General features: G+C 43.5%; 1 protein-coding gene across 14 annotated transcripts in view, besides 3 other annotated features; it reads right to left on the bottom strand.

The window, feature by feature from the left end:
• The window catches only part of TULP4 (TUB like protein 4), a 279,634-nt gene that overhangs the window by 37,669 nt on the left and 215,692 nt on the right, over positions 1-26,273 (bottom strand). For 10 of the 14 annotated variants that reach the window (XM_047419087.1, XM_047419084.1, XM_047419086.1 and 7 more), the window contains 3 exons: positions 24,984-25,164; positions 21,892-22,026; positions 12,431-12,597 (listed from right to left, as the gene is read on the bottom strand). In XM_047419087.1, coding sequence (XP_047275043.1) covers positions 12,431-12,597; positions 21,892-22,026; positions 24,984-25,164 — 483 coding nt within the window. Of the gene's footprint in view, positions 1-8,623; positions 8,693-12,430; positions 12,598-21,891; positions 22,027-24,983; positions 25,165-26,273 lie in introns of all 14 variants that reach the window. The other 4 variants (XM_047419082.1, XM_047419081.1, XM_047419079.1 and 1 more) reach the window with 1 other exon arrangement.
• Positions 3,498-4,379: an enhancer, noted in NCBI's record as "H3K27ac-H3K4me1 hESC enhancer chr6:158890813-158891694 (GRCh37/hg19 assembly coordinates)". NCBI's record gives its function as "activates a minimal SCP1, AML or CMV promoter by ChIP-STARR-seq in naive H9 embryonic stem cells {active_cell/tissue: H9 hESC(naive)}" and the evidence as "EXISTENCE:reporter gene assay evidence [ECO:0000049][PMID:30033119]".
• Positions 8,390-9,381: an enhancer, noted in NCBI's record as "OCT4-NANOG-H3K27ac hESC enhancer chr6:158885811-158886802 (GRCh37/hg19 assembly coordinates)". NCBI's record gives its function as "activates a minimal SCP1, AML or CMV promoter by ChIP-STARR-seq in naive and primed H9 embryonic stem cells {active_cell/tissue: H9 hESC(naive and primed)}" and the evidence as "EXISTENCE:reporter gene assay evidence [ECO:0000049][PMID:30033119]".
• Positions 9,382-10,373: an enhancer, noted in NCBI's record as "OCT4-NANOG-H3K27ac hESC enhancer chr6:158884819-158885810 (GRCh37/hg19 assembly coordinates)". NCBI's record gives its function as "activates a minimal SCP1, AML or CMV promoter by ChIP-STARR-seq in naive and primed H9 embryonic stem cells {active_cell/tissue: H9 hESC(naive and primed)}" and the evidence as "EXISTENCE:reporter gene assay evidence [ECO:0000049][PMID:30033119]".

Below are 26,273 nucleotides of genomic sequence, written 5' to 3'. Positions count from 1 at the left end.
CAAACATGTGCAAAATAGTTCACTTTAAAACAGAAGAAGGGCAAGGTGCAATGGCTCATGCCTATAATCCCAGCACTTTGGGAGGCTGAGGCAGGAAGATTGCTTGAGGCAAGGAATTCAAGACCAGCTTGGGCAACATAGCAAGACCCTGTCTCTACAAAACAAATTTTCAAAATTAGCTGGGTGTGGTGGTGCACACCTGTAGTCCTAGCTACTTGGGAGGCTGAGGCAGGAGGATCGTTTGAGCCCAGGAGGTTGAGGCTACAGTGAGCTATGATCATGCCACTGCACTCCAGCCTGGGAGACAGTGAGACTCTGTTTATAACAAATTTTTAAAAGGCCAGGCATGTTATGGCTCACTCCTGTAATCCCAGCACTTTGGGAGGCTGAAGCAGGAGAATCAGTGAGGTCAGGAGTTTGAGACCAGCCTGACCAACATGGTGAAACGCTGTCTCTACTAAAAATACAAGAAAATTAGCCGGGCGTGGTGGCACATGCCTGTAGTCCCAGCTACTCGGGAGGCTGAGGCAGGAGAATCACTTGAACCCGGGAGGCAGAGGTTGCAGTGAGCTGAGATCGCGCCATTGCACACCAGCCTAAGCAACGAGAGCAAAACTCTGTCTAAAAACAAACAAACAAAAACAGACCAAGTTGGTGATCGGTCACCGTCAAACTACGTTGGTTGGAGCCACAGACAATTTTGAATACAAAGTTATAATGATTTGGCCACCAACTAAATTGTAGTAATAAAAGCTAGTTCAGCGTTCGGTCAACCAAATTTTAGTTTTAAAAGAACACAACCATCCTTGTATTTTGTAAGCAGACAAGACCCATGAAGGACTTTCTCATCTACTTACAAGAAAAAATGGGAAAAGCACAACAGGGGCAACTTCAGCAGAACAGGCAGAGTTAATCCTAAGTGAAAGAATGCAAGTCTATTTTTGCTATAGGATTCGCCTCCAAGAGTACAGAAGTCCACAATCACACATGCAATCTCTTATTTGATTTTTAAATTCCCATACCCATCTTTTTCCACCTTCTCTTCTCTTAATTTTTTACCCAGTATCACATCAACAACTGAACCTTACAGAATATAGGGTGACCTCTCCACTGGCCTTCAATGCCAGAAGACCATAAAACAAAACAAAAACCTGGGCCTAAATTATTGAAGCCTACAAACTTCAGTCAGTAGTGCTAACTCTGAAAACCTGTTATATTTTCAGATATGCAAGAATATATAGAGAGTCACAGATAACAGCTAATGAGATAAATTACAGAATTTTACATTACAACATGTAGGACAGAAAGGAAAATAAATCAGAGCATATTTCCTTAGAAGAGCTCCAGCCACAAGCATTGCTGTTACAAGTAAATCAGGAGAATCAATTTTAAAGCTGCTGCTGCTGCTGCAAGTTCGTCCCAGGCAATGGTTTTGTACGCAATACCCTACAATCTAATTAACTTGGAAATACATTATCCAATCTAAATTGCATTTAGTTCTTTTTATAAGCAGTCCAATAAATCGCCTAACTTCCTTCCTGCTATAAAAATGTCCCTGCCTTTGGACTCCTTGAATAGCACAGCATAGATCACATGTGATTTTCGAATCATTAGACAAGAGTTAAACTGGTGCTAAATATAATTAATATTGTACTTGATTTTTAATGGCATCATTATTTAACTTTCTATTATTGAGGCGATTTTTTCAATGGTTGAAATGGACCCTCAATGAAAAAAAGAATCAATAATTTATTGAAATGCTGAGGTACTGTAGGGATATCTTTCTTCAAAGGAAGATCAGTCAGGGCCTTTTCTCTTATTCCTGAGCTCAAATAGTTTAAATTCAGGATCCATGTTACTTTCATGTGATGGCTGATGAGAACTTCTGCAATGGTTAAGGCCATAAAACCTTTACTACAGTCTAGGCACTGGTCAGAAAAAGGAAGCCTCTGTCTTCAGGAAAATAAGACAAGTAGACAGAAAAGTGTAATACATGCCAGAGGTGTTAAACACCCCGAGGGTTTACAGAGAAGGGGAGCCTCAATCCACTAGGCAGCTTTAAAAGAAAACGTGACTGAGCTGGCACTGAGGAGGATCCAATTCCTGAGCTAAAACGGCGGGAAGGACATTCCCTGTAGAAGGAACACAATGCCAGCAGGAAGGGGGCCCTAAGTCAGATGAAGTGGGGACAATGCTGAGTGTGTTTCAGCACTTGAATTCACAAATATTCTAATCATAAAAGCCTTATAAAAAGCCAGCATCAGATTGATTATAAATGTGACACAGCCTACAGGTTCAAACAATCAACAGAAAGATGAAAGAAAGCCTATGTTGACACCAGTCCATCCATAAACCCACTGAAGAAAGATTTACTAAGTACCTACTACGTTCTAGGCAATGAACTGGCAGTGGGGACACAAACAGAATCAAGGTAATCTCTCCTTCCTTCAATCCCAAATCCACAGGAACTCTAATATTTATGTTTGTTTTGCCAATGCCCTGGCCTCATACATATGGCCTTAACTCTGTTCTACTTCAGCTCTTTCCTGGGTTAACGCAGAATGACTTCACTTCCAAAACAGAAATTTAAAGTCCCTATCCAACCACAACTTCCCATTTTGTTTGTATCACCTCCTCTTGAACATGTCTTTTTATGACTTTACACTTCCTAGCCTCAGGTCATGAAGTATCTAACCACTGATGCCATGGCTGCCCAATTCCATAGTATCCTTAGCAGTTTCCTAGATTCCTTCGACTCCTTGGCCCTGCTACTACACTCACCTTTCCAGTTCCTAATTTTAGGCAATCGGTACTACTGACTCTAGGATTACAGTGAAGGCATGGACATCACTGACTCTCACTTTATTATCCGGAATGGCAAGTGGATGGCACTCCATGGCACTCCTGCCGAATCTTCCTTGTGCTTTTCATCCTGCCTTTTTAGCTTATTGAGAAGACAGGCATTGTCCTGTAGTGTGTGTGTGCTTTGGCTCCCTCCTGTACTTAAAAATCCTTTGTCTCTTTCTACAATCTCTCCTTCCTTTCTGTCTCTTCCAGATTAAACCTCCCTACTGCCCTCAAACCCACATCTTCCAACTTGCACTGGGCTCTTGTCCCTTGCTGTACTTTTTCTTGCTTATTTCTTCTTTTTTCCCCAAAGACTTATTAATTGTATATGAACACAGTCATGCCTCTCCATTTCAAGTTACCATCCTCTCTCTGCCTTCCCCTCAAACCCAGTCAAAACAGTAGTTTACATGTGCTGCCTCAACTTCTTCACTAGCTGCTTAGTCGCCAATTCTTTATCTTGGCTGTCACAGCTGTATCTCCAGCACCTAGAACAATGCTTGGCATACAGATGGCTCAATAAAGATGACTGAATGAACGAAAAATCTTTTACCATGTGACTTCCATCACCATTCTAGTGAGACCATTTTTGACCTTAAAACCTCCAAATCCAATGTTTCATGTCTACTTTCAACTGTTGTTCTCTTGTTTGACATATTTCCTTTAATGGTTCTGAGAGACAGGACTAGCTGGATTTCCTAGGCCGACTAAGAATCCCTAAGCCTAGCTTGGAAGGTGACCGCATCCACCTTTAAACAGAGGGCTTGCAACTTAGCTCACACCCAACCAATTAGAGAGCTCATTAAAATGCTAATTAGGCAAAAACAGGAGGTAAAGAAATAGCCAATCATCTCTTGCCTGAGAGCACAGCAGGAGGGACAAGGATCGGGATATAAACCCAGGCATTCAAGCCGGCAACGGCAACCCCCTTTGGGTCCCCTCTTTGTATGGGAGCTCTGTTTTCACTCTATTTCACTCTATTAAATCTTGCAACTGCACTCTTCTGGTCCATGTTTGTTAAGGCTCAAGCTGAGCTTTCGCTCGCTGTCCACCACTGCTGTTTGCCGCCGTCGCAGACCCGCCGCTGACTCCCATCCCTCCGAATCTGGCAGGGTGTCTGCTGTGTTCCTGATCCAGCGAGGTGCCCATTGCCGCTCCCGATCAGGCTAAAGGCTTGCCATTGTTCCTGCACGGCTAAGTGACTGTGTTCACCCTAATCGAGCTGAACACTAGTCACTGGGTTCCACGGTTCTCTTCCGTGACCCACGACTTCTAATAGAGCTATAACACCCACTGCATGGCCCAAGATTCCATTCCTTGGAATCCGTGAGGCCAAGAACCCCAGGTCAGAGAACACGAGGCTTGCCACCATCTTGGAAGTGGCCCGCCGCCATTCTGGAAGCAGCCCACCACCATCTTGGGAGCTCTGGGAGCAAGGACCCCTGGTAACAGCTCTCTATGACATTCCTCTTCCATCTCCTTCCTTCTGCTGCTTGTTAAATGAAGGCTATCACTCCACTACCCAAAGTTCTATGCTTGGCCCTTTCCTCATTTCCCCTCGTTCTATTCATTCCTTTGACATTAAATCCATTTCATTTCTCCAACTATGGCCTCCATGTGGATGACTCCAAATCTCTATCTCCACCCCAATCTCTTGCCTCAGTTCTAGTCCCTCATCCCCAAACGCCTTCCACACTTAGAGATGTGGCTGCAACAGTAACTAAAATGGTCTGCTTTTGGCCAGGTGTGGTGGCTCAGACCTGTAATCCCAGCACTTTGGAAGGCCGAGGCAGACAGATCACTTGAGGTCAGAAAATCAAGACCAGCCTTGGCCAACATGGTGAGACGCTGTCTCTACCAAAAAATACAAAAATTAGCCAGTGTGGTGGCACACACCTGTAGTCCCAGCTACTCGGGAGACAGAGGTGGGAGAATCGCTTGAACCCAGGAGGTGGAGGTTGCAGTGAGCTAAGATCATGCCACTGCACTCCAGCCTGAATGACAGAGTGAGATCCTGTCTCGAGAAAAAAAAAAAAAAGGTCTGTTTTCACTAGTACTGACCTCCTCCTCCTCACAGTCCTCCAGAAGCCAAATCTCTTACAATCTCTCTGAACTCTGTGTCTCTCTTCCACTCTATTTTCACCGTTCTGGATTTTTGTCCTGATTCCGTCTTACTGAGATAATAACACTGACGTCAGTTTAGTCTCCCCAAAGCCCTGTCTCACCTCTCCCTTGCTCATAAAATAAAAATACAAAACAAAAGGCCAAATGAAGTTTAACATCTTGGTCAGTGCTATGTATGGTCTGAATGTGTGTCCCTCCGAAATTCTTGTTGCAATCTAGTTCCCATGGTGGTGGTATTAGGTGGGGCCTTTGGGAAGTGATTAAGTCATAAGGCCTCCACCCTCACGATGGGATTAGTGCCCTTATAAAAGAGATTAAAGGGAGGCGCCTCCCTGCTTTTACTCATTCTACCATGTGAGGACACAGGCACAAGGCGCCATCTATGGAGCGGACCAGACGCTGAATCTATCAGTGCCTGGATCTTGGACTTCCCAGCCTCCAAAACTGTGAGAATTAAATTTGTATTATTTATAAATCACCCAGTCTAAGGTATTTTCTTATAGCAGCCCAAACAGACTAAGACACATTTGGTCCTAAGACACTTTTCTAGTCTTACTTCCTGTTGTTGTCCCTTACATAAACTATGCTGTAATCAAACTGTATTCTATTTCTAAAAGTGATTTATTATTAATTTTTTTAAAAGAAATTATGTTACGATTGCCAGTGGCTAAAGAAACCAAGAGATAATATAAATGGCAAATAAGTTTAAGTTATCTGATCCTTGGAAATTACATAATGCTGGGGTTCAATCAGGCTGGTGGAAAAATATTAGAGATAGTTATAGAAATAGACACAAATCTTGGAAAACTGAGAAGTTTGTGTAACTTCGGTAATTTATCTGGCTGAAGGCGGCCTGATCCCTTTACCTTTAGTTAAACAAATTAAAATAGTAATAAAGAAAGGCAGCGTAGTTTACCTACCTAGCTTGTTTACTCATATAATCTTAAGACTAACCTTTGATGTACCAGGTGCTTAAGTGCTTTTTACTGGGGAAGTCCACAATGTCAATTACCCTCTAATGGTGTTGACTCAAGCTTTTGTTAATTAATCTTACTGAATAAATGCGAGTGGAGTCGCAACTGTTTACACGACTCAGCAGGGAGTCTGTAAGCGGCTCCCACACAGCTGGACTGGCAAAGCAGAGTATCTGTGTGTCAGTGTACTTTTATTCATCCGTTGCTGGGTCAGGGGTCTGCAAGGGACAGACTCTCTGCAGCTGGTGCCCCCTGGAGAGGATTGCTGCCCCAACATAACTCACCAAGTAATGGGCAGCAGTAAGATACAATGTTAAGGCTCACTGATTCATTCAACCAGTATTTACTGAGACTGCCATGAGCCAAGATCTGTTCCAGGCGTGGTGCAAAGCTTGGAAGAAAGGAGGCATCTGGTAAACTGAGAAACAGAAAAATCCAGATTGGCAGGGTCAGAGGAGGATGGAGTGGTAAGAGCTAATTCTAGAGGGGATGGAGGGCCAGATTATGGTGATCTTTTTAAGGCACAATGAATTTTTTAACTTTATCCTAAGGATAGTAAGAAGCTACTGATCTGACTTGTGATTTTACAAAGACTGTGGCTGCAAAGTGAAGAACAGTTTAAAAGGGAAAGGCAGGCAGGGCGCGGTGGCTCACGCCTGTAATCCCAGCACTTTGGGAGGCTGAGGCGGGTGGATCACGAGGTCAGGAGTTCAAGACCAGCCTGGCCAACATGGTAAAACCCCATCTCTACTAAAAAAGTACAAAAAATTAGCCGGGTGTGGTGGCACGCGCCTGTAATACCAGCTACTCGGGAGGCTGAGGCAGGAGAATCACTTGATTCTGGGAGGCAGAGGTTGCAGTGAACGCTGATCGCAACATTGCACTCCAGCTTGGGCAACAAGAGCGAAACTCTGTCCAAAAAAAAAAAAAAAAAAAAGAAAGGGAAAGTCGTGGCTCAAACACTGCAGCTAAGATGAGGGTGGCTTGGACTAAGGTGGTGGCCAAGGAAGACAAAAGGATGTAGACATGAAGATATCTAGGAGGTAAAAATACCCACTGGGATTCAGTGGACAGGCTGACTGCTGACTTCTGGCTTGAGCAGCTGGACCACAACCTGGAAGAGGAGCATTATTTAAGAGGTGGAGTGTTCCGAGATTTGGGCATGTTGAATGTGCAATGCTTATGAGATGGCTAATGGGTCTGTGAAGTAAGCAGGTGGGTCTATACAGGCCTCTTTCCTTAGGCTTCAGACCTTCATTGAGATTGGAATTAAAGCTGTAAGACTGGTTGAAATTGTCTGAGGAATACAGAGTGCGAAAAGTGATCAGGCAGAGGTGGAAAAATACCCACAAAGAGCAGGTGCAAGACTCCTTTCCTCCAGGTTATCAAAGCACCAGGTAAACAGTTCTACTTCAAAGTCAAAAGCATTTCTGTGTCATCACTTGTCTGTCTTCCTTAACTAGCTGTGAGCTCCTAGGAGATATGGATCATGTCTTCCTTGTTCAGCCCTGAAACACAAGCACTCAGAGCTCAGTGCCAGCCACACAGTAGCTCCTCAAAATATCTTGGCTGGATGCTTGAACAAATGAGTGAACAAATATGCTTATTTGCTCAAAATATTATACTGCCCAAAGACACAGTTTAATCCTACTTCTTAAAAACAAAAACCCAAATAACCTGATTGAAAAATGGGCAAAGGACTTGAACACACATTTCTCAAAAGAAGATACACGACAACATCACTAATCAACATTATTAATCCTTAGGAAATGCAAATCAAAACCACAATGAGATATCACCTAACATCCAAGAGGATGGTTAGTCCAAAAAAAATCCCAGAAAAATGACAATGTTGGCAAGGATGTGGAAAAACTAGAATCCTTGTGTAATGTTAGTGAAAATGTAAAATGGTGCCGCTTGTAAACCAAAAATAAAATCCTAAGCCCCCTATCGACTGAATGGAGACTCTCTTGGCCAAGGAAACCCCAGAAAAACCTTAAAAACTGAATTCCCAGCCATGACAGGAAGGGAGGCTGGACACAACCTCATTATACTCCCTCCCATCTGGAATTTAGGTCCAACTGACCTGAGTAAATGTTAAAATAGAGATCATAAGACTGACAAAAGGCTCTTGATGGCAATAAGATAACAAATTCTAAACAATACCTAAGGCCATGCAAGGCAAGCCTTGAGCCATGCCTACAGGCCATCAATCTCACTAAATGGGTCATAATTTTGGCTGACTCTGACATAGCTTCCGAACGTTTTAACTTAAAATATTCCTTTCTGCTGACTCCCAAGTTCTAGACCAAATTTTGTTGCTTTAACTAACTGTAGATTAAAGAATCTCTGAATCTACCTGACTTGTATACTCCTCTACTTCTCCTGGTTTCAAGATATTCCACATTTTCAAGCTGAGCCAACGTATACCTTCCACATGTTGATTTATGTCTTTGCCTGTAACTCTTGCCTCCCTGAAATGTACAAAACCAGACTGTAATTCAACTGCTTCGGGCGCACTTTCTCAGGACCTCTTGAGACTGTTTTGCTGGGCCAGCATCACTCATACTGGCTCAAAATAAACCTCTTTAAAATATTTTACAGTTTAGTCTTTCTGTTAACAAGCTGCTATGAAAAAACAGTACGGCAGTTCCTCACAAAATTAAAAATAGAATTACCATATGATCCAGCAAGTCCACTTCTGGGCACAAATCCAGAAGACTTGAAAAGCAGGGTCTCAAAGAGATCTGTACACCCATGTTCACAGAAGAATTATTCACAACAGCCGAAAGATGGAAGAAACCCAAATGTCCATCAATGGGTAAACAAAATGTGGTATATCCATACAATAAAATATTATTCAGCCTTAAAAAGAAAGAAAATTCTGACACATGGTACAACATGGATGAACCTTAAGGACATTATGCTAAGTGAAATAAGCCAGTCAGAAAAAAATAAACACTTGTAAACCAAAAATAAAATTCTAAGCCACCCAACCTACGGAATGGGCCTGCTGTTGGCCAAGGGGATCCCAAAGGAGTCTAGAAAACTAGTTCAGGCTGTGACAGGAAGGAAGTTTGGGCATGGTCCTTAAATTGCCCCCATCCCTTTGGGGTTTAGGCACAACTGACCAACATTAACATTAAAATAGAGGAAAGACTGATAAAACTGACTCTTCGTAGCAATAAGATACCAAATTCCAACGTGATTATGACATACCATCACGTTGAAGGAAATCAAAGTATTTTACCCCCAAATATAGTTTGTTGATATATTTTGAAATGGCAAAACCTGCAAATGGCAAAACCCGCAAATGGCAAAACCCTGCAAAACCATCTCTTGTTGGGAAATTTGCATTTTGTAGAGAATCTCCTTCCTTTTCTAGGTCTTTTCCTGATTCAGGAGACATTTAACCAAGAGTCTGATACCTTTTAAGGTCTGAAAGGAGACATTTACCATTTATTCACCCTGAAGCCTGCTACTTAAGTAGTTTCATCTGCATAACAAGAACCTTGGGGCCAGGCGCAGTGGCTCCTGCCTGTAATTCTAGCACTATAGGAGGCCGAGGAGGGCGGATCACAAGGTCAGGAGTTGGAGACCAGCCTGGTCAACAGGGTGAAAGCAGAACTGCTTAAACCCGGGAGGCAGAGGTTGCAGTGAGCTGAGATCGCGCCACTACACTCCAGCCTGTGGGACAGGGCAAGACCTCCGTCTTGCGGCGGGGGGTGTTGCAGCGGGGAACAAGAACGTTGGCTTCCACAACCCCCTTACCTTAACTCAAGCAATTGTTTCTCCTGACTTCAAGCCTTTAGGCAAAGCTTAACTCTTTCAACCAACCAAAGATTTTCAACCAATCAGAAAATCTTTGAATCCACCTGTGACATGTGTATGGCCTGGTTTCAAGATGTCCTATCTTTCCACAGGCTTAACCAACATGTGCCTTACGGGTATTGATGTATGTCTTTGTCTGTAACTTCTGTCTCCCTAAAATGTACAAAACCAAGCTGTGACCTGACTACCTAAGGCACATCACATATTCTCAGGACCTCTTGAGACTGTGTCCTAGGCCATGGTTGCTCATATTTGGCTCAGACTAAACCTCTTTAAATATTGTACAGAATTTGGTTTGTCAACATATTGCATAATTCCACTTACATGAGGTTTGTAGAGTCAAACTCACAGAAAAGATAGTAAAATGGTGCTTCTCATGGACTGGGAGGAGGGAGAAACAGGGAGTAGTTGTTTAATAGGTAAAGAGTTTTAGTTTTGCAAGATGAAAAGGTGCTGGAAATTGGTTGTATAATAATGTAATACACTCAGCACTACAAAACAGTACACTTAAAAATGGTTAAGACGATAAATTTTATGTTATATGTGTTTTACCACAATTAAAAGAAGAAAATATATATTTAAATATTTAATGCCTGCATGTAATTACAGATTTCCCCATATCTGGTATCCCTGCCTCTCTGATGAGCTGAGTAATGTTAGGACACAGATTCTTTTTTTTTTTTTAATGAAGTCTATTCCATTTATTTTTTCTTTTTATATATATATATATATATTTTTATTATACTTTAAGTTCTAGGGTACATGTGCACAATGTGCAGGTTTGTTACATATGTATACATGTGCCACGTTGGCGTGCTGCACCCATTACTCATCATTTACATTAGGTATATCTCCTAAATGCTATCCCTCCCCGCTACCCCCACCCTACAACAGGCCCTGGTGTGTGATGTTCCCCTTCCTAGGACACAGATTCTTGTTCATTATCACCTCCACTGTCAACTCCCTCCCAGGCATACGTCTATTACGCGCTGCTGATAATTCATCCTCCACTATAACTGACTCAAACATAAGGTGGCCTAAAGATTTCTGGGAAATAAAAACAAATAGAAAGGGGGCCCATCTGTGTATACTTTCTTAAAGACTTTTAAGCTTTTAAAATTACTGCTTAACAACAATTTAGTTAAAATGTAAAGGTTCATCACTGGCATAACAAATATAAAATCAGAGTGTGACAGGGTTCAGGACATGCTTCCCCAAATATGACTGTAGGAGACTAGAATAAGCCACCACAGATCTGCCTCTTTGGCGTAAGGATAATTTCGAGATGGTTATTTTGAGATACACACAGGGTAAAGACACAGGGTAGGTAGGCCAGGAGTGGTGGCTCATGCCTGTAATCCCAGCACTTTGGGAGGCTGAGGCAGGTGGATCACCTGAGGTCGGGAGTTCAATACCAGCCTGGCCAACATGGCAAAAACCCGTCTCTACTAAAAAAACATACAAAAATTAGCCGGGCGTGGTGGCGGGCACCTGTAATCCCAGCTATTTAGGAGGCTGAGGCAGGAGAATTGCTTGAACCCGGGAGGAGGAGGTTGCAGTGAGCCGAGATGGCGCCACTGCACTCCAGCCTGGGCAACAAGAGTGAAACTCCAATTCAAAAAAAAAAAAAAAAAAAGGAAAAAAAAAGACATAGGGTAAACTCTGAAGAGTTACCCTTTTGTAAGAGAAATTACATCTACAAAGAAAATCTGGCTGGGCATGGTGGCTCATGCCTGTAATCCCAGCATCTTGGGAGGCCGAGGCGGGCAGATCATGAGGTCAGGAGATCGAGACCATCCTGGCTAACATGGTGAAACCCCATCTCTAGTAAAAATACAAAAAATTAGCTGGGCGTGGTGGCAGACACCTGTAGTCCCAGCTACTCGGGAAGCTGAGGCAGGAGAACGGTGTGAACCCGGGAGGCAGAGCTTGCAGTGAGCCAAGAATGCGCTACGGCACTCCAGCCTGGGTGAGAAAGCGTCTCAAAAAAAAAAAAAAGAAAGAAAAAAAGAAAAGAAAATCTACATATGTAAGGGTCTCTCTCTCTCTGCACCAAGAAGAGAAGGATGACTGGACTTCTGGAGACTTAAAAAAAAAAGAAAAGACATTGGCTTAAATCTGCAGAATGAATATCACCCTTCTTTCTCTGTTTCCGTGAAGCATTTAAGCCTGTAGTCTAAGAGAATGTTTTGAGCTACTCTAGAGACTTACTCATTTCTTTGGGTTAACTCCCACGTATGCAGGAGATACACAAGTTATTAAACTTCTGTTTGTTTTTCTCTTGTTAATCTGTCTTTTGCAATGGGGAGTCCTGCTAAGAACTCACTAAGAGTAGAGAAGAAAATTACTCTTCCTCTCCTACAAGTGAATAAGTGAAGATTCAGCATTCACTTCTGCAATTTTCTGATTTCTGCTTCAGACTGATGATAAACACCAGCTTACTCTGCTTATTCACTATGTGCTCATTTGACTGGGAAATAGAATAAAGCATTCTGGTTAAAAGGCAAAAACTGCTTTCTCCCTTATTTCTCCTGGTTTACCCACCACAACCTAAGGTAAAAAAAGATTAAAATAAAATTTGTCAACAATAATTATAATAACCTATTCACTAGTATACTGCTGAAAATGTACTTGTTTCCAGAGAACATCCTTACCTGCACGAGAGTGTCCAGTGTGAAGATGTGCTCCCCACGAACATTGTAGAACTTGACCATGGCACTCTTCAGAAGGGGACCATTGGGAAGCTCACCAAGCTGGGTCTGCCGTTCCATCCCAGCGACTGCCAGCAAGTCCCCCTGTGTGCACCACTGGGCTACCACCTCTGAAACAGAGGAGAGAGGGTCAGCACAAGGACACAGCCCTCCTCAAACTGCCACTCAGCAAGCCTACTGTCTTCAGTAGTTTAAAAAATACAGACACTGAGCAAATACAACAAAAATATATTCATGGTTTTTTCCTTTTTTTTTTTTTTTGAGACGGAGTTTCACTCCTCTTGCCCAGGCTGGAGTGCAATGGCGTGATCTCGGCTCACTGCAACCTCCGCCTCCTGGGTTCAAGCGATTCTCCTGCCTCAGCCTCCCGAGTAGCTGGGACTACGGGCGCGTGCCACCACACCCAGCTAATTTCGTATTTGTAGTAGAGATGGGATTTCTCCATGTTGGTCAGGCTGGTCTCGAACTCCCGACCTCAGGTGATCTGCCCGCCTTGGCCTCCCAAAGTGCTGGGATTACAGGCGTGAGCCACTGCACCCAGCCCATATATTCATGTTTTAGCTCATGAATACAACCAATTTCTCTGAAGATGATGGATTCTATTAAAAACAGGTGTTTGTCACATGACTGGGGATTGTAGTTTACTGAAACACAACCAAATTAGGTAGAAATCATGATCTAATAAAGTTAGCATGTTAAATATGTATCTCCAATTCCAGTATTTCCATGAGACTTGTAGAACTTCCTTTTTTTTTTTTTTAAGAGACAGCAAGACAATAAAACCTATGACTGTATATTCATATAAGTACTGGTCCCACTGCTGTGGCCTCCACTCCCAGGGATGACTCAGAGAGTTTATAAATGCCAAAAGTAAAAAGCACATCGAAAACAAAGTCTTAGTTTATATTCATTTGATTTCTGGGCACTACTGGGCAGATAAGGTTCATACAAAGGACACACATGCATATGAGAATGCTGACTCTTGTCATTTGATGATGTTGTGGGGCTTAGAAAAGAAAATAAATACCCCTGCTGGGAGACAGTTTTTTCAGCATAATTTCCACATTGGAAATTCGATGCCCACCTACAAACTACTCAGTGCCTATAAGAAATGGTTATTAAAAGGTTTATCTTATCCCAATGAGAGCAATTTACTTATTTCTTGCTGGTAAAACAAAAGCCATTAGTATTAATAAGATTTATGACATTTTTTTTTTCTCCTTCAAGACCCTAAAATCGTAATCTGGTTTATACAGAGATCTCTGAAATCTAGAACTAAAGTGGCCCACTTTGCAGAGAAGCTGGGCGGAACTTAAAAGAAAATGCTCTGCCCTGATGGGCACATATTTCAGAGATGGGGCTAGAATTCAGTGGTCCCCGGGCTCTATCAGCACACACATGACAATACCCCTTATTCATGCATGGTCATGATTTTGATGCTGCCACCAGAACATTCTGAGGTTGCTGAAGCTCTTTCACGTCTCTTGAAAACTAGAGTGTGTCTCCTGGGACAAGACAGGTTTCCAGACCCAGGGAACACGGGACTTTCTCATGAAGTTAGCTGCAGGGCAGAAAGTAGGGAGACAAAGGGCTGAGCCAAAGCAGTTACAGATGAATAGAAAATGGAAAAAAACCTGCCACAATCAGGAAATGAAAAATTACATAAAAGAACCAAAAACATCCTGGTGAATCAGATTCTTTTACAAATGCGAGGGGAAGCTAGAGGATTCGTGCACATACTAAATGTGCTCTGGGCATTCAATGCCTGGATCTATCTCAGGGAAAAGCCTGCTTGTGATCAGGAAACTGAGATGACGTTCTCTGGAGAGCAGCTTTGGGCACACAAGGAAACCAAAAGGTGAGGCACTAACATAAACAGTCATAGTAGTAACAAAGATGACGGTGTCTCAAGCTTCTTAGGACAGAAGCATCATTGTAATATTGTAGAAATAAAGATGACGACATGAAATTTCCACAGCTCCTCACCTGAACTGCACCATTCTTGTATTTATTTTTAAAATAATATTTTTTTGAATTGTATTGCAAGGTGGCTTTCCCCAACAGAAAAGTGGGTTGTTGCCCCTGCAGAGCTGACCTATGATGCTTTCGGAAACTGCTCAGGGACTCAGCAAGCAACCTGGGGCACTCCCAGGCTCTGTCTACGAGATGGGCTATCTATCTGAGGCAAGAATGAATCCAAATGTTTACAAGCAAACTCTCAGGGACTTCTTTTTTTTTTTTTGAGACAGAGTTTCACTCTTGTTGCCCAGGCTGGAGTACAATGGCGCGATCTCGGCTCACTGCAACCTCCGCCTCCTGGGTTCAAGCGATTCTCCTGCCTCAGCTTCCTGAGTAGCTGGGATTACAGGCATGCGCCACCATGCCCAGCTAATTTTGTATTTTCAGTAGAGACGGGTTTTCTCCATGTTGGTCAGGCTGGTCTCAACTTCCCGACCTCATGTGATCCACCCGCCTCGGCCTCACAAAGTGCTGAGATTACAGGCGTGAGCCACCGCGCCCGGCCAGGACTTCTTCTAATGCAGGTGCAAAGTTATAATGAGATGACTGTCATCTGCAAAGGCGAATCACTCTTTCAAAAAAGATTAAATTCCATGTAAATAATGCCATTTCTTGTTCCAACGATTATGGAGCTACATGCATCAAGCGATATAGCAACGTATGTGAGTGCCTCTGATGATTTAGCATAAAGCAGTCCTGAGCCACATGACAGGCACAGCCGCGACCAGGGACACAGGCTATCTCATAAAGTACTAGCATGAAGAATTCAGCAGTGGGACTAAGAAAGAATAACCCTGAATTGTTCAGTGTCAGCCAGGAGTATGTGAGTTTTCTGCAGGAGTTGAATTCCTAGGGCAAGAGTTTAAAATTTTCAGAAATTAGTGGGAAAATCAAAGTAAAAGAAAATACTCATTCAATTTCTACATGTCATTATGATAAAGAAGAGAAGGATACAGAAGCCTAGATATAGTCAGGACAGAACTTTTTTGTTTCAGAAACTTTTTGTAAATGATGTCTGTCTTATTTAAAAAATAATCCCCAGTATCTTTGCCCAAGACTTGAGTAATAATTTTGTTTGAATCTCCTATTTTTAAATTTGTTTCAGAATACAACCTAAAAGGAACAAACTAATGCTCTACTCAGTAGGCCTCTTTTCCCTTTTCCTAAAGCTCGTGGCCCAGAGTCTCTAATCTCACCCTCACAGGCAATGGGGAGTTCTAGAGCACACAAGAGGTCCGTACTCTGGAAGCATCTATGTTTCTTCTCAATGATTTTGGGGGGTGTGGGTTTTCGGTCTCTGATATGTTTTACACAAAAAAATTCAGCACACCTACACTATTCTCTTTTAGCCAGAAAATCTTATGGATCCTTTTTGGTAAAAGTCTGGAAGGTTATATGAAGTCAGTGAAAATTTAGTTCTTTTGTATTAACAAGAAGCCCTTTGTGTGGTATTACTGGGTCAAAAAGAGGCAGCTAAATTTTAACAGAAAAAGAAAGGAGTGCTTATCAAGCACCATATATATTGCAGCTACTGTTTGGAGTCTGAAGTTATCCAGTTCTTTGTCCCTTAGATTACCATGTGCATGATTCACCTCTTTATTAGTCATTAGACATGCATGTTGTGTATGTGCATACACACGTGCATGTGGAGCAGTGGGGGGTGGAGGAAAGAGCAACTAATTAATTAGCAAAGTGTGTGATGATAAAATAACAGGTACATTTTTTTTTCCTTTAAGAAGTATGTTTCACTGCAAGGACTGAAAAAAAGGGGCACGTACTCAATGAGGACGACGTGGGCAAATCTTATCAGGTCTGCCCACAGGAGCAGATGGCATCAATGACTGAAACCACCTGCCTCAAAAATTCCCTCCTCATTTTTTCAGTGTGCTTAATGAAATGACAAAAAGAGAAAATTCTGCAAAACAAAAAACACAAACAAAGCTCAGGGGTTGGAGCTTTTAATTTCAAGGCAAGTGTGGGATGAAATGAGTGCCTCTGGGAGTCTGCTTTGCCACTGAGGGATGAACTGGCTTGGGCAGAAAATTCCTGAACTCCTGATTGAATTATTTCTACTCAGGAAAAGAGTAGAAGTCATAACAATGGGTAAAAACCCCAAGCAAAGTGAATCAATTCCCTGCTTATTGCGTGATGAAGAGAAGTCCCTGTTCTGAAGGAAGAGAATCTGAAGAAGGCAGAACTTCCTCAGCAAACCACGGCCAAGCAAAATCAGAGCCTAACCCTCCCCAGAACCCGGCCTTTGAGCCCACAGACACATCTGCAGTGAAAATGAAGTGTGCTGGCTGATGCAGAAGAGGCCTGGGCAGGGACCAAGAGCTATGTGGAATTCTAGGTTCTTTTGCACAGGTCGTAAATTCCAGTGCTGGTGATACACTAAAACAATAGTGCGAGTTACCTTCCTTCGCTGCCAAAGTTCTTTAGTGATGTTCCTCTGAGACAGTAATAGAGAAAAACCAAGTGGATCGGAGACCTTTTTAATTTCCTCTATGAGACAAGTGGCTGACCTGTCTGTAATAGAACAGATGACCCCAGGCTAAAAACATTGCCATGTGCCGTCTCCAACAGTATTCTGGTTGTCTCATCCCAGTATTTACCAACATAGCCCGTAAGATAGTGGATAAAAAAATAAGTTACAAAACAAAAATGATTGCTATTCATACCACATGTAAAGGCTAAGTCCTTAAAACATTCTGATCCCAAGAGAGAAAAGGTAAATTGCCTACATATAGCACTGTCGGGGCACAGAGAACGAGATCCCAAGTATGGTGTTTTGGTACACTGAACATTTTTTTTTTTTTTTTTGAGATGGAGTCTTGCTCTGTCGCCCAGGCTGGAGTGCAGTGGCGTGATCTCAGCTCACTGTAACCTCCACCTCCCAGGTTCAAGCAATTCTCCCACCTCGGCCTCCCACGTAGCTGGGATTACACGCACACGCCACCATGCCTGGCTAATTTTTGTTGTTTTTTAGTAGAGATGAGGTTTCACCATATTGGCCAGGCTAGTCTCGAACTCCTGACCTTGTGATACACCCACCGCAGCCTCCCAAAGTGCTGGGATTACAGGCGTGAGCCATCGTGCCCGGCCTGAGCATTTTGAATTAAAGACAACTGGAAGGCCTTAGAACAGAGGTGTCCAATCTTTTGGCTTCCTTGGGCCACACTGGAAGAAGAAGAATTGTCTTGGGCCACATAAATACATGAATACTAACAAGAGCTGATGAGCTTAAACAAACAAAAAATCTCATAATGTTTTCAGAAAGTTTACAAATTTGTGTTGGGCCACATTCAAAGCTGTCCTGGGCTGCATGTGGCCCACAGGCTGCAAGCTGGACAAGCATGCCTTAGAAGCTGCTTCAGAGCCAGGGACTTTCTGATCTCCTGCTTTCCCCAAATAACCAGGAAAGACTTAACCACCAGAGAAGAGAATAAAAGTTGTCGAAACCTTTGGTCACAGTAAGAGTTCTACCCCTCACCTTCCCATAACTTACAAGTCCTGTTCAGTTCCTAAGAATTATTAACAAGGTAACGTCTACCTCCTGGATCCATTCATTTCCCCTAGAAATCACTTACTACTAATCATGATTGCCTACCCACCTCCCCATTTCCCTCCTTTCCATGGAAAGGGTATAAAAACTTCAACCATGTGGCCTTTCTTTGAGTCTCTTATTTTATGTGGGTCCTATGCTTATTCACATTAATACATTTCTATGCCTTTTCTCCTGTTAATCTGTCTACTGTCAGTCATTTCAGGGAACCTTCAGAGAGGACAGAAGGGAAGCTTTTTCTCTGTCCTTACAGCACCTACTTGATGGCACCAGCTCATTTCGATTTAATCTAACTTTCTGAAACTAGGAAGACACAGAACAAAAGCATCCTGCAAATAATTTTTTTTTTTTTTTTGAGACGGAGTCTTGCTCTGTTACCCAGGCTAGAGTGCAATGGCGCAATCTCAGCTCATTGCAACCTCTGCCTCCCGGGTTCAAGTGATTCTCCTGCCTCAGCCTCCCAAGTAGCTGGGATTACAGGCATGCACCACCACGCCTGGCTAATTTTTGTACTTTCAGTAGAGACAAGGTTTGGCCATGTTGGCCAGGCTGGTCTCGAACTCCTGACCTCAGGTGATTCACCTGCCTCAGCCTCCCAAAGTGCTGGGATTACAGGCGTGAGCCACCGTACCCCGCTGAAAGCATCCTGTAAATAACTGAAAACATTTTTAGGTTAGATTTAGATATCTAGTTAGGTAATAATTAAAATGTTAAATTTGGCCGGGCGCGGTGGCTCACGCCTGTAATCCCAGCACTTTGGGAGGCCGAGGCGGGTGGATCACGAGGTCAGGAGATCGAGACCATCCTGGCTAACAAGGTGAAACCCCGTCTCTACTAAAAATACAAAAAATTAGCCGGGCGCGGTGGCGGGCGCCTGTAGTCCCAGCTACTCGGGAGGCTGAGGCAGGAGAATGGCGTGAACCCAGGAAGCGGAGCTTGCAGTGAGCCGAGATTGCGCCATTGCAGTCCGCAGTCCGGCCTGGGCAACAGAGCGAGACTCCGTCTCAAAAAAAAAAAAAAAAAAAAAAAAAAAAAATGTTAAATTTGCCTGTATTTTTAGAAGAAAACTCAAGGAAAAAAATTTCACATTTGGGAGGGCTACTTTGGGTCACCTCCCCAACTTACCTAACATATCCTTCTACCTATATTGCACATATGGTTGCAAAACGTTAGAAGTGCTGCTCCAGGATGGGTATGGTGGCTCACGCCTGTAATCCCAGCACTTCGGGAGGCCCAGGCGGGTGGATCACCTGAGGTCAGAAGTTCGAGACCAGCCTGACCAATACGATGAAACCCCATCTCTACCAAAAATACCAAAATTAGCCAGGCGTGGTGGCATGCGCCTGTAATCCCAGCTACTAGGGAGGCTGAGACAGGAGAATCACTTGAAACTGGGAGGCAGAAGACTCAGTGAGCCAAGATCGTGCCACCGCACTCCAGCCTGGGCAACAAGAGCAAAACTCCATCTCAAAAAAAAAAAAAAGAGAGAACTGTTGCTCCAATACCTTGGGCATATTCAAGGCATAAAAAATAAAGTTTCCATAAGCAGGGTGGTAAAAAACTGGAAAAATTCCCCCGTAAAGAATAAAAAGGAACTGAGTGGTAATTATATTATGTTCAGCCTTCACCAGATATTTGGTAGAGAAACCAAGTTCTGGATTCCTGAACTAGAGGCAGGTTCTCAAAAAATTAATAAACTTGGTTTAAAGGTTTAAAAATAGAATTTTGAAGAAAAAAGTTAAGCATGGATTATAAATACATTAGGAATTAATGTTGATCATCCTGTGTTTTAGCTCCATGAAAGACAGAACATTCAGAAAAAAATTTACAGACAAGCACAGGAATTTAAGTTCATCATCACCACAAAAAATATGTACTCAACTCCTACCAGGGCCTATGTGTGATAAAAAGGACTTCAACGTCATTCATGTCCCTCAGGACTTTACAGCCTAAGTAATTCCTTATAATTACAGTCCTGAGACAGTAGATTGGGATGCCCAAAAGAGGGTATGTAATATGTTTCTAAAAATATTCTATAGTTTAAAAATAGAGTAATTACTTGGGGGGGGGCGGTGCAGAGGCAGGTATGATTCTTGCCAACCAACAGTTAAGTATATAGACTTGATTCTTTTTTTTTTTGAGACGGAGTCTCCCTCTGTTGCCCAGGCCGGAATGCAGTGGTGCGGTCTTGGCTCACTGCAACCTCCGCCTCCCAGGTTCAAGCGATTCTCCTGCCTCAGCCTCCCAAGTAGCTGGGACTATAGGCACACGCCACCACACCTGGCTTTTTTTTTTTTTTTTCCGAGACAGAGTCCTGCTCTGTCATCCAGGCTAGAGTGCAGTGGCTTGATCTCAGCTCACTGTAACCTCCGCCTCCCAGGTTCAAGCAATTCTCCTGCCTCAGCCTCCCGAGTAGCTGGGATTACAGGCACCTGCTACCACGCCCAGCTAATTTGTGTATTTTTAATACAGACGAGGTTTCACGATGTTGGCCAGGCTGATCTTGAACTCCTGACCTCGTGATCTGCCCGCCTCGGCCTCCCAAAGTGCTGGGATTACAGGCGTGAGCTACCGTGCCCGGCTTTTTTTTTTTTTTTTTTTTTTTTGTGAGACAGAGTCTCGCTCTGTCACCCAGGCTGGAGTGCAGTGGCGTGATCTCGGCTTACTGCAAGCTCTGCCTCTCGGGTTCATGCCATTCTCCTGCCTCAGCCTCCCGAGTAGCTGGGACTACAGGCGCCCGCCACCACGCCCGGCTAATTTTTTGTGTTTAGCTAATTTTTGTATTTTTAGTAGAGATGGGGTTTCACCATGTTTGCCAGGCTGGTCTCGAACTGCTGACCTTGTGATCCACCTGCCTTGGCCTCCCAAAGTGCCGGGATTACAGGCATGAGCCACCGCACCCAGCCTAGACTTGATTCTTTACATCCCTGTGACTGCTGAATAATTCAGGCAAGCAGCAGTAGCGCACGGTAATGACTCCCTAGACCAATGGCCAGTTTTGAATGACAGCAGCGAGTTACACCAAAGTTCCTGGCTTGTCTCCTATATCCTCATTCAGATTACAGGAGGTCCCTTAAACATCAAGGGTCAGAGGCAGCCCAGGTATTGAATTTTAAAACCTTTTTACCTTGTACCATTCAACCCTGAAGAGACAGATTGTTTTTCCATAGAACTCACATCAATGGGGTCAACAACATCAACAGTACTCTTGAACTGCAAAATTCACAACACTCCAAATGCCTATGCCCACTGATTTTCTTTTGAGATAACAACACTCATAATATCTATCAGGAAGGTATCAGCACTTGACTGCTGCCCTTCACAACAATGCCTCAGTCTAGTAATTGCAGAACCTCCACAAGTCTTTCAAGGTAACTTTATCGCACAGTGATGATCAGTTCCTTAATAAGACTGTCAGATTCTTAAAATTACAGGGGCTTCTGTGTAAATGATGTCTTGTGCACCATCTGCTGCCTTAGGGATGGCAGGTGCTGCAGTCCGTTTATTGTGCAGACATGCGTAAGCCAGATGCAAACATACCTGTACACCTGAGAGAGGATCATTCTTGTCATAGTGAGGAAAAGAGCAGGCTAAGACAAAGACTGAATGTCAGGAATCTCCCTTTGAGATAAGACTAGGTATGGACTTATCAGATAAGCAAAGGAGTGAAGAGGGAGTGGCTTTAGTTAACAGACTCCATGAAGCCCAGAAGGTGTCACCACAGAGGACAGGAATCAGTAAGCACAGAGTGTACAAGACCGGCCTTGAGGCAAGCACACACAGGCCCGGTCTGCAGGTTTGGGGTGTGTGCAGCATTCTGTACCTTTCAGCCCTGAGCGGATGACCGTGGGAGACAAGTCATCGTAGTTGTTCATTAAGCTGATGTCTCCCGAGGTGAAGCTGACGGTGAGCAGAGGCTTGATGTTCTGCACTGGGATGGGATATGCTGCCGGACCATCTGCAGGAACACAAGTGCCAAGTGAAAAGGAGGGAAGCACACCACCCAAATCCAGGTTCCCAAAGCTGAAATCTTGCATGGTGCCTTAGAAATTGCCTGACAATGCAGATCCTACTCTGGATTGGGATGCTACCTGAATGAAACATTCTATATCATTCAGGAACTACACAAGGGCCATCAGTGGGCACTAACAGAGAATTTGTGAGTAAGAAGCAGGACACTAGGGACATAGCCCTGGGGGCAATTGGTGAGTGGTGAGAATATGTGTGAAAGTTTACTAACTTGATGTTAATGTGTTACACGGTTCTAATGACATATAGACATAAATTATTTTAATGTCATACAACATCCAAGGATGGTAGGAGGAGGGATAAAAACATTTTCTTAATTCTGGTCTAAGAGAGAAAAAAGTTGCTTTTCAAGTTCCAAATCCTCTTTCTAAATCCTCTTTCATTGAATGTTACAGGAAATAAGCAGCCACAGAGGCCAGCCCAGATTTGGAGAGAAGGTTGGGCTAAATGTGGCTCATAGAGGCTTGCTGCACCTGCGGAGCACAGCCGGCATAAGGAAAACCCTGCTCTGGAGCCTCATGCAGACATTAAGGAAGGGGCCATGATGGACCATGGACTTGGTCTTTCACAGGGTGTTTGAAAAAGCAAAAGTAAGCCCTTCCTAGATGCCTAGATAGAGCAACGTTTTCAGAAGGCTCCTGTAGGCTTCACAGCCACACTGGGCTCATCTTAGCAGCCATCGAGGTGGGCCTACCTGCCAGTTGTCTGCAGAGGAAGCCCAGTTATTGCTTTGCTTTACATCATGACACTGCACTATACCGACCTCCACACTCAAATTCCCTAGGCCACTAAGAAGAACCCTGTTGCACGTGAAAGGTGAACACCTGTCATCCTCTAAACTGCCCCCCCTGCTTCTGAGAAGGGCAACTGCCTGGAGGAGCAACCAGGGACTGAATTCTGTTCTTGGATTTACTCTGGACTTGCTTTATAAACTTGGTCTCTGAGTCCTGTTTTTTTTTCCTTTCTTTTCTTTTCTGTTTTTTCCTTTTTCTTTTTTTGAAACGGAGACTTGCTCTGTTGCCCAGGCTGGAATGCAGTGGCGCGATCTTGGCTCACTGCAGGCTCCGCCTCCCGGGTTCAAGCCATTCTCCTGCCTCAGCCTCCGGAGTAGCTGGGATTACAGGTGCCCACCACCATGCTTGGCTAATTTTTTTTTTCTTTTGTATTTTTAGTAGAGACGGGATTTCAGCGTGTTAGCCAGGATGGTCTCGATCTCCTGACCTCATGATCCACCCGCCTCGGCCTCCCAAAGTGCTAGGATTACAGGCCTGAGCCACCGTGCCCAGTCCCTTGTTTTCTTTTTTTTTTTTCAATAATAAAATGGGGGCAAGTAAATCTAGATTTGACCCACTAAAGAGGAGTTCTAAGAGTATGCTGAGTCCATGTGATGAAGACACTGACTTTACTATTATGAGGCTGTAGAAATATGACCAACACTTCTCTCAAGGCTGGTATCCTATTAGGAAAGGGGATGGTTAATTCCTAAATTGCTTTATGGGTGCTAGGAATACCCATAAAAAGCCCCCAAGCCACTGGTCCTAAAACACTACCATTAATCTCAATTGTTTTTCATGTGTGAATGCCTTCTCCTAAAATGAATAAATGAATGAGTATGTGTGTACACACATACGTGTCTGCTGCTGGGAAGCATAACACACTGTGACAGGAAAGAGAAGACAACACAACACGAGAATATTGCAGGTTCTAACGGAGGCAGACAATTTCTCTAATTTCCCCCGGAACAGCCCTTCACAGGACGACATGCCCCACAATGGCAGGAAAGGTTAGAAAGCACCCACTGTGCCCTTTGACTATGAAGGGCACACAGCAGTGTAAGCACAGCTGTGCTAGGCTAAGGATAGAAGCCTGCGGCAGTGTGACCACTTCTAATCAAGAAGCCAGTCCCATTCCCCAAAACGAGATGGTTACAGCTAGGCAGGAAGGCTAAATTCTAGTGTTCCATACCATGGAGGATGACATGTTAACAATAACATATTATCATATTATATAGTTTCAAATACCTAGAACGAGGATATTGAACGTTCCCAACACAAAGAAATGATAAATGTTTGAGATGATGAATATGTTAACTAAAATGATCTGATCACTATACATTATGTGTATCGAAATATCACAATGTAGCTCATGAATATGTACAATTATTGTATCTCAATTTTTTTAAAAGAGATGGGTGCAGGGGATGGGATGCTGGTGAAGAGCCAACTGAGTGGGCCAGTGCTGCACACTGATTCTGGGGACCTGCTAGAGGTTAAGGTGGCTGGAATTTGAGGTCATCCCCACCAAGAGTACTCAACACCAACTGGAGTATACAGAGAGGCAGTAGGTCTTTTAGACCTGAGGAGGAGGAGAGCTTCTGCCTGAAATAAAGAGGACAGACAGAAATGTAGAGTTATCTGCCCAAGGTGCTGGCCTTCATTATGGCAAAACAAATCCTTTTCTCATGCACCTAAAGCCGCGGGCTTTAATAACATTGGGGATTTGGATATATCACATATTAAGTTATAATAATAGCACAGCATTTTTCATCTTTAGCTTTCTTTATTGTCACTAAGCAGCTAAGCCCCACAATACCTCAGGGACACAGGAAGAGCCATGTGTCTCACTTTATATCTAGGAAAAGCTAAGCGAATTAAGTGTAATCAATTCGACCAGTGATTCTGAGAAAAGGGACAACAGCGGGGAGACAGTCACATCTAGATGAGGCCAGCCCTACCTTGCATTTCAGCTTGATAACTCTTCCCAGGAAGCCCGGGTGCCGTAGGTGTGGCGGCCCTTCACCCTCCCTCCTCCACATCAGTCTACTCTGCTCCGATGCCCTTCCTTGTCCTTCTGGTCAGTGACAAGGAAAGTAGGGCCAATGAGTACCTTGGGGAGGGGCGTAGTCATCTGAGTCCGTGTCGCTCTCGCTGCTGTCCTCCACCAGGAAGATCGGGTAGTTCCAGGACATGCCGAGGACACCGTCTGACTCGTGCAAGAGGACGTGGGCCAGCATTCTGCCGTGGCAATCCATGACAATCACCTGCCCATCGGCCGTGCCAAACAGCACCTGCAATCCAGGATGGGGACCTCTGACCAAGTGGCAGCAAGGGCCAGTTTCTGGCACACCTTGTTGCCTCGATTTGTTTTAGGAAGACAATATACATTTAGAACTAAAAATAGCTAGTTAAGTAACAACAGCACAGTGACACAAAATGTTAAGTAGAACCTCTGCTGGCTATTCCTGCAACAATTTGAGTCCTTTAATACTGAAATGTGACTAACAGCAGAATGAGTATATTATATTGCATGAACGTTTTCAAATAATACCAGCAAAATCTCTGTTATACTATTTGCAGGGGTTTTGCTTTGTATTTTTGATTGGAGGAGAGGAGTTAGGAAAATATTCATTTACTTTTCTGGAAAACGAAGAAGCAGCAGAGATTTGTTGTTATTATTTTCTCAAATTTAGAAGAAAAAGCTTAGGTTTATGTTTGACCAAAGAGAAAATACATTGGGTTATGTAAGCATGTTATATAACCATATTTGGAAAAGAAGATGCTCCTGAAACAATGTTTTATTTCCAATGTTGAATGTTTTACTTCACTGAGAATAATAATAGTATTAATGTATTAATTTATAATTAATTTAAGGATGTAGTCATGGTATTAAAATATTAAGTACTTACTTTGCACTAAACACTATGCTGAAAGCTCTACCTCATTAATTGTCAAAACCATGAGTTAGGCGCTAGTTTTGCTGGTGTGGCCCAGGTGGGCTTTTGCTACCACAGTGTGCTGAGGGCTGCTCCTCAGACACCTTCCTTGGCCTCACCCATCTCAGAGCACATACTCAGGAGCATGCTGGGTAATACAGACAGGTACATGGCCAGAGCTAAAGAACAATCTGGATAGAGGAAGGCTGAATGCGCCCCTCCATGACAGCAGCAAAGGAGCACCTCACAGCTGCTGAACATCCCCCCTGCCGCCACCAACCAACCAACAACACTAGTGGTGCCACCAGTGGGACATCCTGAGAGGAATCTTGGGTCCTGGGCAGCAGGACCTCCACCGAGGTGCATCACATTGCATTATGTTCTGCTTTGTGTGATGGTCTCTGCAGTTTCTGCATTGGTTGCCATTAAAAACTTTACATCTTTTGTGTCTAATGGGATCTGTC

This window comes from Homo sapiens, chromosome 6 (assembly GCF_000001405.40).
Source record: "Homo sapiens chromosome 6, GRCh38.p14 Primary Assembly".
In the NCBI taxonomy this organism is placed as follows: domain Eukaryota; kingdom Metazoa; phylum Chordata; class Mammalia; order Primates; family Hominidae; genus Homo; species Homo sapiens.
Note: the sequence above shows the minus strand (reverse complement) of the source record. Positions and strands in the feature narration are given on the sequence as shown.